This window comes from Homo sapiens, chromosome 2 (assembly GCF_000001405.40).
Source record: "Homo sapiens chromosome 2, GRCh38.p14 Primary Assembly".
In the NCBI taxonomy this organism is placed as follows: Eukaryota; Metazoa; Chordata; class Mammalia; order Primates; family Hominidae; genus Homo; species Homo sapiens.
In genome coordinates, this window is record NC_000002.12 from 211,498,018 (window position 1) to 211,510,731 (window position 12,714).

The window sequence follows — 12,714 nt, forward strand, 5'->3', positions numbered from 1 at the left end:
ATTGTGTACTATCACCAAGAGACCTGCATGTTTTTAATAAAGAAGATGCCAGCACTCCATGTGGAGCACCACATGAAACCCTTCTCATTCCCTTAGTGAGAGACTTCTGTGTCTCTCACTGCTTTTTAGTATTCTAAGTCTACAGTGGTCTCTCCACAATATGGTATGTTGACTTCTTTCAACCTAGGAACTTCTATAACTATCAGTGTTCTAATTTGTGCTAAAGTCTTCAGTATGCCCTCTCGTTACATAGAATGAGTGTCCTATTCTAGGTATTCAACACCCCTAAAGGATACAGAATTGGAAATATTACACTAGAAGAGTTACTTGTTTATTTCTCTGTCATTAAACTAATTATTTGTTTGACTTTGGTACATTAAAGTTTTATATATATCTATATACAAAACATGAATGTATAAATGTAATATTAACAAATCTTATCAGAACAAGCTGCTTATAATTATTTCTAAATATCATCACTGCCAATATATTGTACTAATTTCCCATTCATCAAAATTCTAGGCTGTTGTTAAATACACATTATGTTACATAAATGCTTTGCTTTAGGACCATTTTTTCAAACATCATAAGGAGTAACAATTGACTCCATAGTAAAAATTCCAAATTCTTCATCAAAGAGCTTTTCTCATATTTTCCAAACTCCTCAGCAGGAAACTAAAAACGGGGTCATTCCTACAATAATCCTTTTCATTCAGTCATATTACCATTACAATTGACAAAGAGGCCATATGCATAGGGCAGTCTTGAAGGCTGAGAGACAGAAGCTAGGAAGCTGTGTAATGTGAACTAAAGCACTACCACCATTAGAAATATAATCAGAAACCATTATTAGTGGCACAAAAGTAAGTAAGAATGCACCTGCTGACAAGGTATAACTGCTGATGCTTCCCTCAGGGACACAGATGAGGAACAGAAGGGAATTGCCCAACAATGGGTTATAATGAGGCTCCACGAAGACAGTAGCCTCACCTGTTACATTCTCCTGTGTAACTCCAGCGCTAGCACAGAGCCTAGTGCTGAGTAAGCATGCAATCAATCTTTGATGAGTTCTGGAATGAATAAGCAAACACACTCATCATTCCTCCTCATACTCAATATTCCTCCCTTTTATTAAGTGCTAGGTTCTGGGCCAGTTGCCTTTTATACTTAAACTCCCTTTTTATAGATGTGCTGCCCATTTTAGAGATGAGAAAACTGTGACTCAGGCCGGGTGCCGTGGCTCACGCTTGTAATCCCAGCACTTTGGGAGGCTGAGGCAGGTGGATCACGAGGTCAGGAGATCGAGACCATCCTGGACAACATGGTGAAACCCCATCTCTACTAAAATACAAAAAATTAGCTGGGTGTGGTGGTGTGTGCCTGTCGTTCCAGCTACTCGAGAGGCTGAGGCAGGGGAATTGTTTGAACCCAGGAGAAGGAGGTTGCAGTGAGCCGAGATAGCGCCACTGCACTCCAGCCTGGCAACAGAGCGAGACTCTGTCTCAGAAAAACAAAACAAAACAAAGCAAACAAACAAACAAAAAAAAGAAAACTGTGACTTACAGATCTTAAATACTGTACACACATACTAAGCAACAGAGCTCAGATGAGTTGGTTATTCCACAGATAGAAACAATATATTTGGACTTTGAGATCACCAAAATGTGTAAGTGTAAGAGGGACTTCACTCATAAGCATCAGAATTTTAACAATAGGGTATTTTGCTTTGCTCTTTCTAGGTGAAGATACCCCCAAAAAGTTCTATTTCTGAGACTATATAAACTGTTCCCAAACCAAGGTGGTGCAGTTATAAACTTGGTTTTGAGAAAAGTTTTTTTTTGGCTTCAACCTCAATATCTCATCTCAAGAAATGTAGGAATGTGTGATATTTCTGAAACGTAGGCACTGTGACTATCCTGCATGTAGATGACAAGAGAATACTAAAGAAATGCATAATGATGTACCCTACTAGTGAGTGATGACAATCACTAGCCCCTCTAGTTGAACAATGGCATCTTCACTACCTGAAACAACCAAACATATGAAAGTGTGAAGTGAGACTGATGGAGATGAAATGGTCTTTGAAAATATTTAGGATTTATTTTCTGTATCTGGTCATGGTACAGTCGTCTGCTCTGACCCTAAGTTTTATAATGACACAATTATAATTGTATTCATCATTTTGTTCTAATTTATAGCCATTTAAAAGGGTATAATTTAAGCCACATTACTTATTCAAATATTTGACACAATATAGCCACTGGACTATAAATAGCAACAGACATTTTTAAAATTCTCACTGCTTTATAGCTAGAATAGCAATTTAGGAGAGCTCTAGGTAATAGTCTGAAGCTTATTTACTGAGGAAGAAAACTCCTAAAATAGGTCATTTGATTGAAAACTGACTTAGTTGCCACAGTCAAGATAATTTATTTAAACTTTCATGTATTAATAGGTTTGATTCTACAAAAATATGAATCTAACCCATTAAAAATGTAATGTAAAGTCAATTTCCATTCCACTCAAATGATCAAACTGCTTCTTCATAATCATTAGTTTATCACTGAATTATGGAGCCCATGCTTTTTAGGTCACTTTTACGAAATGAAAATGAAACATCCAAAGAGTCACAGTTGTTGAGAATAAGAAAAGATCTTTTTTCTTTTAATATTCTATATGTAAGTTATAGTTAGCATTTCCAAACTGGTTTTTTTTGTGGGTTAGTGCTTCTTCCACAATTTTTTGAAAGCTAAATTTTGAGAATGGTGTTTGTACATATCTCACACTGAGAGCACTGGTTTGCCAGGTCATTCTAATTATTCTATTTTTAAAAGAGTGACTCCTTTGGTATAATAGGTTTGGCATTAGTGAAATTAAAGGTTGTGACTGAATAACAGTAATGGTCTTACATTTCAAAAAGAAACATTTTTCTTTTCTCTTCAAGTTTATTTTCTCTCATTACTTTAGTAAGATTTGACATACATATGTCATTGGAAGGCCATTGTTTGTTCATTATGTGCAATTCCATTAAGAACATTACCTAGTTAATTTACAAGAGGCTGACTATAAAAATAAATAAAAAGATAAGTATCTACTAAAAAAGGTAAAAGGGAAGGAAGCATTTATATACCTCATTTAAAAAGGAGTTTATTAAAAAGCAAACTTCCCTCACAGAAGAAAGATTTATAAAATAAACAGCATAAGAAGGGTTGGTTAATGGGTACAAAAATATATTTAGATGGAATAAGATCTAATATTTACTACCACAATAGGGCTACCATAACTAACAATAATTTATTGTATATTTCAAAATAACTAGAGGAATGAAATTGGAATGGTCCTAACACAAATAAATGATAAATGTTTGAGATTATGGATACCCCAACTACTTGATTTGATCATTACCCATATTATATGCTTGTATCAAAATATCACATGTATCCCATAAATATGTACAATTGTTATGTATCCATAAAAATTAAAAAAAACAGCATAAATCAAGACATTTGATTTGCTTGTGTGTTTTTTTTAGAAAACAATAAGATATTGTTGTTTTATAATTATCTTTAGTCCTGTTTCTGAATGTATATACATATGGATGCTTAAGTACATATGAACATATTGTATTTATCTAACACAATATCAAGACAAAATTACAATGCATATAACCTCAGGTCTTCCAAAAATAATAATTTAACTTACTTTTAATTGTGCTATTACAATTTCTCTAAAATGTATTCTATAGCTTTCACTATTAAATACAATATATAAAATCTGACCTAACATTTTATATTGTTAATTCAGGGTCACTTTTATGAACATCAGTTACTCTATTCTGCTGTTATAAAGCAATGCCTTCATGGGCTTGAGCAGTGTGAGGCCACATTAAATCTCCCAGAGCATTTATTAACGACTTGGCTATATTTGTTGTTCCTCCATATACTTTTCCCCTACCTGAAATGTAAAATGAATCAAACTCTTCTTAGTATCGATAACAGCTAGATAGCTTATTTGTAAAATTTGTTTTGGATCCCTGCTTACAGCCAAAGAAATGAGTTCAAAATGGTGGAATATTGGGATATTACAGCAAGCAGATTGAATAAACTTTCTGGACAGTGTAGTCACTTTAATGTTCTTCATAAAGGCCTTTGGCACTTCAAATTCCACCTGTGTATGAGATATGCAACGACAATAGTTTGGAGAGTTTGCATGTGCTCATAACATACTTCTATGGCTTCTAACAAACAAATTTGGGAAGAAGATATCATTTAACAATGCAAAGGAAGCCTATTCTTGACATTTTATATACTCAAATTAGGGTAATGTAACAGAAAGCTAATATATTGAGTGGATAACAGTTTCTGAATCTGTCTCAAAGGTTATTAATTATTTCATATTGATTACTCTTAACTTCAGATTATAAACATTCAATTACCTATTAGCCCACCTAATTAATAAAACTGTATTATAAAGCAATCTGCTATTTTAAGGATGCATTACTATTGAACGAAGCAAGGCCTCCATGAACATGAGTGTGCTACAGAGCTCATATCTCCCTCTATAACTTGGAAAGTTGAAAGCCTACAGACTTAGAGAGTTCTACTGTGTTTTCTCATATTCTTTATATCTAGAAACCATAATTAGATTCATGAAAATGTATAAATGTAGAGTACAATGTGATGATATTGATTACAGCCATCTTTGATGGCTCATTTAAGGATTTATAATCTATGGAAAATCTCTAGCTTTATAAATGCCTTGTGTAAAACTTCTTGGAGTTTCTCAGGCATATTTCTGACATTTTTCCTGAATAAGAAGATCATTAGGATTAGAGATGGATGACTAGGTGCAGCTGGGATGCACCTCCTTCATGAAGAAGAGTCACAGTATCAGGTAAGCCTTGGACTTCAAACAGATTTATTGAAAGAAGACACTGAAACTTAATAGAGAGGCAATGGAGGACACCGTGGTTGAAGAGGGAGGAAGCATGGCTACTTGCTTGGCCTCACTAGTTGCCAAGATCAGCCCCTGGAGCCAGACTAGACCTGAGGAATGGATGAATGAAGAAACTCTGGGACACCACATTCCCACTGCAATCCTCTGAGACCCTAGTTACAGAAGTTCCCACCACCCTCGCAGACCTTTGGGCCTAGAGAATACAGAGAGACCGTTTAAACCAAAGTGGACCCCAAAAGGCTTCAGTGAGCTGGGCAGCTGCAGCAAAACATGACTCTGGGCACCCACCCTGCAAAATTCTGCATCATGCCCTAAGCGGCTGCAGCTCCTGCTGTCTGCCGAGCCAGGATAGAACTGAGCTGGCCACATTCACATGCCCAAGATGGGTCCCACCAGCACTGTTTGGGAACTGAGGAGCATCTGAACCACATGTCCCCAGGCCCGCCAGTTTCTCCCAAGACTGCCAGCCTGGTTGTTACCGCAATGGGAGACCCACAGCATACCCCACATTGATCTGCCTGAGTGGTTTGTTGGCAGTCTTGGAGCAGTTCCTCCTAGTCCAGATCAGGAATGGTGTGACAAGATAGTTGCAATTTCTGCTTCAGGGACTCACAGTTCAAAACATCTGGACCCGCATAGCGCCTTGGGCACAGGTGGCTCAGAATTAGCCTAACGGGTCAGGCCTGCTTCTTGGGCTGGATGCTGGAAGGAGATCCACTTGCTGGCAGGTATGGAAGCTGGGTGAGTCCAGTGGCCGACTGCTGGGCTGAAAACATCAGGTCACCACTCTTTCCCTGAGAAGGCTCTGTGGCTTAGGAGAGGTGCTTCCTCCTCTGCCTGGAGGGTTGTCTCAGTGGACTGGGAGGAACCCTCAGACCCCTGTGAAGGCCAGTGCTTGCACATGCCTTAGAGAGCCTGGTTGCAGGATTGCTAGATTGATCCCACCCTTTCCTGAGAGTCCCATGCTCTGCCCATAACCTGGAACATCCTGGAGCTTGCCCTGATCAACAAAGACAAAGTAAAAATCCCACTGTCATCACTGCAATTGCCTCTCACCTGCAACTGCCACCTACTGGCTGGGAGGTCAAACTGCAGGGCCATTTGCAACTTCTGCTAACATCATTGTACAGTGCTCAGCTGGTTCTTACCTGCAAGTGCCACCTACTAGCCAGTAGGATAAATTGCACTACCCAATATATAATTTCTGCAGACAGAAGTGCACAGTACTGAGAAATAAGATAAGGCTCCCAAGATCACCACATCTCCATCCTCTGTACTAGACAGTGAGCCAGATAATATGCACAGCACACCACTACTAAAACCTACAAACAATGAGCATTTGAAAAAACCACTAGACTAAGGCTATCTATAACCAAATAATTCATACAGAACCTTGGCCCTCTAATAGTACATAGAAGCAAAGCCAAAAGACCCTACCCAACATGTGCAACAGCTAAACCCTCAAAGTGGGGAAGAAAAAAAAAAAACTCACCCAAATGAAAGTAAATTCAAAACTAAGATGTAACAGTTTCTACAGATGATAAGCAACCAGCACAGGAACTCTAGCACCGTGAAGAAACAAAATGTTGTGACACTCCCAAAGGACCACACTAGCTCTCTAGCAATGGATCCTAACCAAAATGAAAACTTCAAAAAGACAGATAAAGAATTCAAGATATGGATTGCAAGGAAGACCAATGAGCTCCAAGAGAAAGTTGAAAACCAACACAAAGAATTCAAGAAACAATTCAGAAGATGAAAGTAGAGATAAATATATTTTTGAAAAGCCAAAGAGAACTTCTGGACATGAAAATTCACTGAAAGGATTTTAAAACACAGTTGAAAGCTTCAACAATAGATGAGACAAAGCAGAAAAAGGAATGTCAGAACTTGAAGACTAGTTTTCAAATCAACCCAGCTAGACAAAAATAAAATAATTTTTAAAAACAAGCAAAGCATTTGAGAAATATAGCATATGAAAAGCAACCAAACTGAAGACTTAAAAACATTCTTGAGGGAGAAGATGAAAAGGTAACAAGTTTGGAAAACATATTAGAAGGAATAATTCAGAAAGATTTCCACAATCTTGCTAGAGATTCAGATATCCAGATACAAGAGATTCACAGAACACCTGGAAGATACTATATAAGATGAACATTACCAAGGTGTATAGTCATCAGACTATCCAAGCTCAATATAAAAGAAAAAATTTTAAAGGCAGCTAGAGAGAAGTGTCAAATCACCTCTAAAGAAAATTCCCTCAGACTAACAACAAATTTCTCAGCAGAAATCTTATAAGCCAGAAGAGACTGTGGAACTATTTTTTAACCTCTTTAAAAAGAAAAAAGAAAAAAAAAATCAGCCAAGAATCTCATATCCTGCTAAATTAAGCTTCATAAGTGAAGAAATATAGACTTTCTCAGGCAAGCAAACACTAAGGGAATTGCTATCACTAGACTGGCCCAACAACTTATGTTCAAAGGAATTCTAAACACGAAAATGAAAGAATGATACTCACCATCATAAAAAAAAAACATGTAAGTAGAAATCTCAGAGCCTATAAAGTAATAACACACTTGAGACCTCAAGGCAACTAGCAAACAAACAAACAAACAAACAAACTATGACAGGAACAAAACGTCACATATCAACATTAACAAAGAATGTAAACAGCCTAAATGCTTCACTTAAAAGTTATAGACAGGGGCTGGGCATGGTGGCTCACGCCTGTAATCCCAGCACTTTGGGAGGCAGAGGCGGGTGGATCACGAGGTCAGGAGATCAAAACCATCCTGGCTAACACGGTGAAACCCCGTCTCTACTAAAAATACAAAAAATTAGCTAGGCGTGGTAGTGGGTGCCTATAATCCCAGCTACTCAGGAGGCTGAGGCAGGAGAATGGCATGAACCTGGGAGGCAGAGCTTGCAGTGAGCCAAGATCGCACCACTGCACTCCAGCCTGGGCGATAGAGCGAGACTCCATCTCAAAAAAAAAAAAAAAAAGTTATAGACAGGTAAACTGGATTAAAGAAACAAGACCCAACCATCTGCAGCTTATAAGAGAACCGTCTAATGGCTAGGACACCTAACAGACTTAAAGTAAAGGGGTAGAAAAAGATATATCATGTAAGTGGAAAACAATAGTAAGCAGGAGTAGCCATTCTTAGACTTTAAATCAACAACAGTAAAATAAGACAAAGGGCATTATATAACAATAAAGAGTGCAATACAGTAAGATTTAAGTATCCCAAATATAGCACCCAACACTGGAGCACCCAGATTCATAAAACAAATGCTACTAGACCCAAGAAAAAATTGACAGTAATCCAATAATAATGGGGGACTTCAACATCCCATTGATAACACTGGACAGGTCATGGAGGCAGAAAGTTAACAAGAAAACTCTGTACCTAAACTGGACTCTAGACCAAATGGACCTAATAGACATTTATAAAACACTCTTTCCAACAACCACAGAGTATCCTTTTTTTTCTTTCATCTGAACATGGAACATTCTTTAAAACTGATCATATGCTTGGCAATAAGGCAAGTCTTAATGAATTCGAAAATTGAAACCATATCAAGTTTCTGTATCATGGTGGAACAGAATTAGAACTGAATACCAAGAATAACTCAATATTACAAAAGTACATGGAAACTAAACAACTTATTTCTGAATGACTTTTGGGTAAACAACAACAATAAAGCAGAAATTAAAAAAATTGAAACAAATGAAAACAGAGACACAACATACTAAAACTTCTGAGATGTAGCAAAAGTATTGCTAAGAGGAAAGTGTATAATGTTTAAAAAACTCCATCTAAAAGACAGAAAAATCTCAAATATAATGTCACACTTCCAACCCCAAAGCTAGCAGAATAAAAGAAACAAAAATTAGAGCAGAACTAAATGAGATTGAGACCAAAAAAATCAATACAAGGGATCCAAAAAATGAAGTTTGTTTTTTGAAAGGCTAAATGAAGTCATTAGACTGCTAGCTAGTTTAACGAAGAAAAATATTCAAATAAGCACAACCAGAAATGATAAAGGAGACATCACAATTGATACCTCAACTGTAAAATACGATCAGAGATTAACTATGAACATGTCTATGCACACAAACTAGAAAATCTAGATGAAATGGATGAATTTCTGGAAACATACAACCTCCCGAGATTGAACCAGGAAGGAAAAGAAATCCTAAACGGACAAACAATAAGTGATGAAACTAAATCAGTAATAAAAAACATCTTTCATCAATAAAAGCCCAGGACCAGATGGATTCATAGCTGAATTTTGTCAGACTTACAAAGAAGAGCTAGTACCTGTCCTACTGAAATTACTCTGAAAAATCAAGGATGAGGAATTCCTGCCTGACTCATTCTACAAAACAAATAAAACCCTGAAACCCATATCAGGCAAGGATACAAGAAAAAGAGAAAACTACAGGCCAATTGCTTTGGCTATTCAGGCTATTTATAAAGAACAAAGCAGGAGGCATCACATTGCCCAACTTCAAGCTATGCTATAAGGCTACAGTAACAAAAACAGCATGGTACAGGAAGAAAAACAGATACATAGACCAGTTAAACAGAATAGAGAACCCAGAAATAATCCCACATACCTACAGCCATCTGATCTCTGACAAAGTTGACAAAAATAAGCAATGAGGACAGGACTTCCTATTCAATAAATGATGCTGGGCAATCCTAAGCAAAAAGAGCAAAGCTGGAGGCATCACACTACCTGACTTCAAACTATACTATAAGGCTACAGTAACCAAAACAGCATGGTAGTGGTAACAAAACAGATATATAGACCAATGGAACAGAATAGAGACCTCATAAATAACACAACACATCTACAACCATCTGATCTTTGACAAACCTGACAAAAACAAGCAATGGAGAAAGGATTCCCTATTTAATAAAAGGTTCTGGGAAAACTGGCTAGCCATATGCAGAAAACTGAAACTGGACCCTTTCCTTACACCTTATACACAAATTAACTCAAGATGGATTAAAGACTTAAATGTAAAACCCTAAATCATAAAAACCCTAGAAGAAAACCTAGGCAATACCATTCAGGACATAGGCATGGGCAAAGACTTCATGACTAAAACACAAAAAGCAATTGCAACAAAACCCAAAATTGACAAATGGGATCTAATCAAACTAAAGAGCTTCTGCACAGCAAAAGAAACTATCATCAGAGTGAACAGACAACCTACAGAATGGGAGAAAATCTTTGCAATCCACCCATCAGACAAAGGTCTAATATCCAGAATCTACAAGGAACTTAAATTTACGAGAAAAAAACAACCCCATCAAAAAGTGGGCGAAGGATATGAACAGACATTTCTCAAAAAAAGACATTTTGCAGCCAACAAACATATGAAAAAAAGATCATCATCACTGGTCATTAGAGAAATGCAAATAAAAACTGCAATGAGATACCATCTCACACCAGTTAGAATGGTGATTATTAAAAAGTCAGGAAACAACAGATGCCGGAGAGGATTTGGAGAAATAGGAATGCTTTTACACTACTGGTGGGAGTGCAAATTAGTTCAACCACTGTGGAAGACAGTGTGGCGATTCATCAAAGATCTAGAACCAGAAATACCATTTGACCCAGCAATCCCATTACTGGGTATATACCCAAAGGATGATAAATCATTCTACTATAAAGTCACATGCACACATATGTGTATTCTACTATAAGGTCACATGCATACATATGTGTATTACTATTTACAATTGCAAAGACTTGGAGCCAACCCAAACGCCCATCAGTGATAGACTGGATAAAGAAAATGTGGCACATGGCACCTGTAGTCCCAGCTACTCAGGAGGCTGAGGCAGGAGAATGGAGTGAACCCAGGAGGCGGAGCTTGCAGTGAGCTGAGATCGTGCCACTGCACTCCAGCCTGGGTGACAGAGCGAGACTGTCTCAAAAAACAAACAAACAAAAAAACAAAACAAAAAAAAGAAAATGTGTCACATATACAGCATGGAATACTATGCAGCCATAAAAAGAATGGGTTCATGTCCTTTGCAGGGACATGGATGAAGCTGGAAGCCATCACTCTCAGCAAACTATCACAGGAACAGAAAACCAAACACCGCATGTTCTCACTCATAAGTGGGAGTTGAACAATGAGAAGACATGGACACAGGGAGGGGGGAGTATCACGCACCAGAGCCTGTCGGGGAGTGGGGGACAAGGGGAGGGAGAGGATTAGGACAAATACTAATTCTTGGGAGGCTTAAAACCTAGATGATGGGTTGATAGGTGCAGCAAACCAACATGACACATGTATACTTACATAACAAACCTGCACATTCTGTACATGTATCCCAGAACTTAAAGCAAAATAAATAAATAAACAAATAAAACTGGGATAACTGGCTAGCCATATTCAGAAAAATGAAACTGGACCCCTATCTTTCTAAATATACAAAACGTAACTCAAGATGGATTAAAAATTTAAATGTAAGACCTCAAACTAAAGAAATCCTAGCAAAAAAATCTAGGAAATACCATTCTGGATATCAGCCTTGGCAAAGAATTTAAAACCAAGTCCCCAAAAGTAATTACAACAAAAACAAAAAATGGTAAGTGGGACCACAATTAAACTAGAGACCTTCTGCACAGCAAAAGAAACTATCAATAGAGTAAACAGTCTACACAATGGGAGAGAATATTAAAAAATTATGCCTCCAACAAAGGAGTAATATCCAGAAACTATAATGAACTCAAACAACTCAACAAGAAAAATAACCAAACCCATTAAAAAGTGGGCAGAGGACAGAAACAGACTTTGCTTGAAAGAAGACATACAAGCAGCCAGCAAACACATGAAAAAATGACCAACATCACTAATCATTGTAGAAACACAAATTAAAACCGCAGTGAAATATCATCTTACATCAGTCTGAATGGCTATTCATAAAAGTCAAAAAACAACAGATGCTATTGAGGCTGAAGAGAAAAGGGAACACTTTTACACTGTTAGTGGGAATTTAAATTCATAAAACCTCTATGGAAAACAGCACAGAGGTTTCTCAAATAACTAAAAATAGAACTACCATTCAATCTACTACTGGGTATCTACCCAAAGGAAAAGAAAGCATTATACAAAAAAGATACCTGCACTTATATGTTTACTGCAATACTATTCACAATAGCAAAGTCATGGAATTAAACCTAAGTTGACCATCAATGGGTGGTTGGATAAAGAAAATAAGTACCACATGTTCTCACTTATAAGTGGCAGCTAAACAATGGGTACTCATGCACATAAAGATGGAAATAATAAACACGGGGCACTCTAAAAGAGGAGAGGGTGGGAGGAGGGTATGGATTTTAAAAAATTACTTACTGGGTACAAAGTTCACTATTTAGTGCGATGGTTAAACTAGAAGCCCAAACCTCACCATTACGTGATATATCCATGTCACAAACCTGCATGTGTGTCCCCTGAATCTAAATTTCTTTTAAAACAGAAGACAGCATAGTGCCATGTGCCATTGACTCTTTAGATGATTCCTACTAAAATGTTGCACTAAAATGAACCCTGTTCTATATTTACCTTTTTTTGAAGTTATCATTCAAAATACTCAGAATTCATGGATCTTTTCAGATGTGATTATCTTGAAATTAGAAAATGTTTTCAATTATATATCTCTCTCTGAAAAGCTGTATGATTATTAAAAGTCATTAGTTTTCTACTCATTTCATCATTTTAGTATTATG

The 12,714-nt window shown here is 37.1% G+C and overlaps 1 protein-coding gene across 11 annotated transcripts in view, besides 1 other annotated feature; it reads right to left on the reverse strand.

Annotated features, from left to right (window-relative positions):
• The window catches only part of ERBB4 (erb-b2 receptor tyrosine kinase 4), a 1,163,086-nt gene that overhangs the window by 122,301 nt on the left and 1,028,071 nt on the right, over nucleotides 1-12,714 (reverse strand). The gene's annotated exons all lie outside the window — the stretch shown is intronic.
• Nucleotides 535-1,039: an enhancer, noted in NCBI's record as "NANOG hESC enhancer chr2:212363277-212363781 (GRCh37/hg19 assembly coordinates)". NCBI's record gives its function as "activates a minimal SCP1, AML or CMV promoter by ChIP-STARR-seq in naive H9 embryonic stem cells {active_cell/tissue: H9 hESC(naive)}" and the evidence as "EXISTENCE:reporter gene assay evidence [ECO:0000049][PMID:30033119]".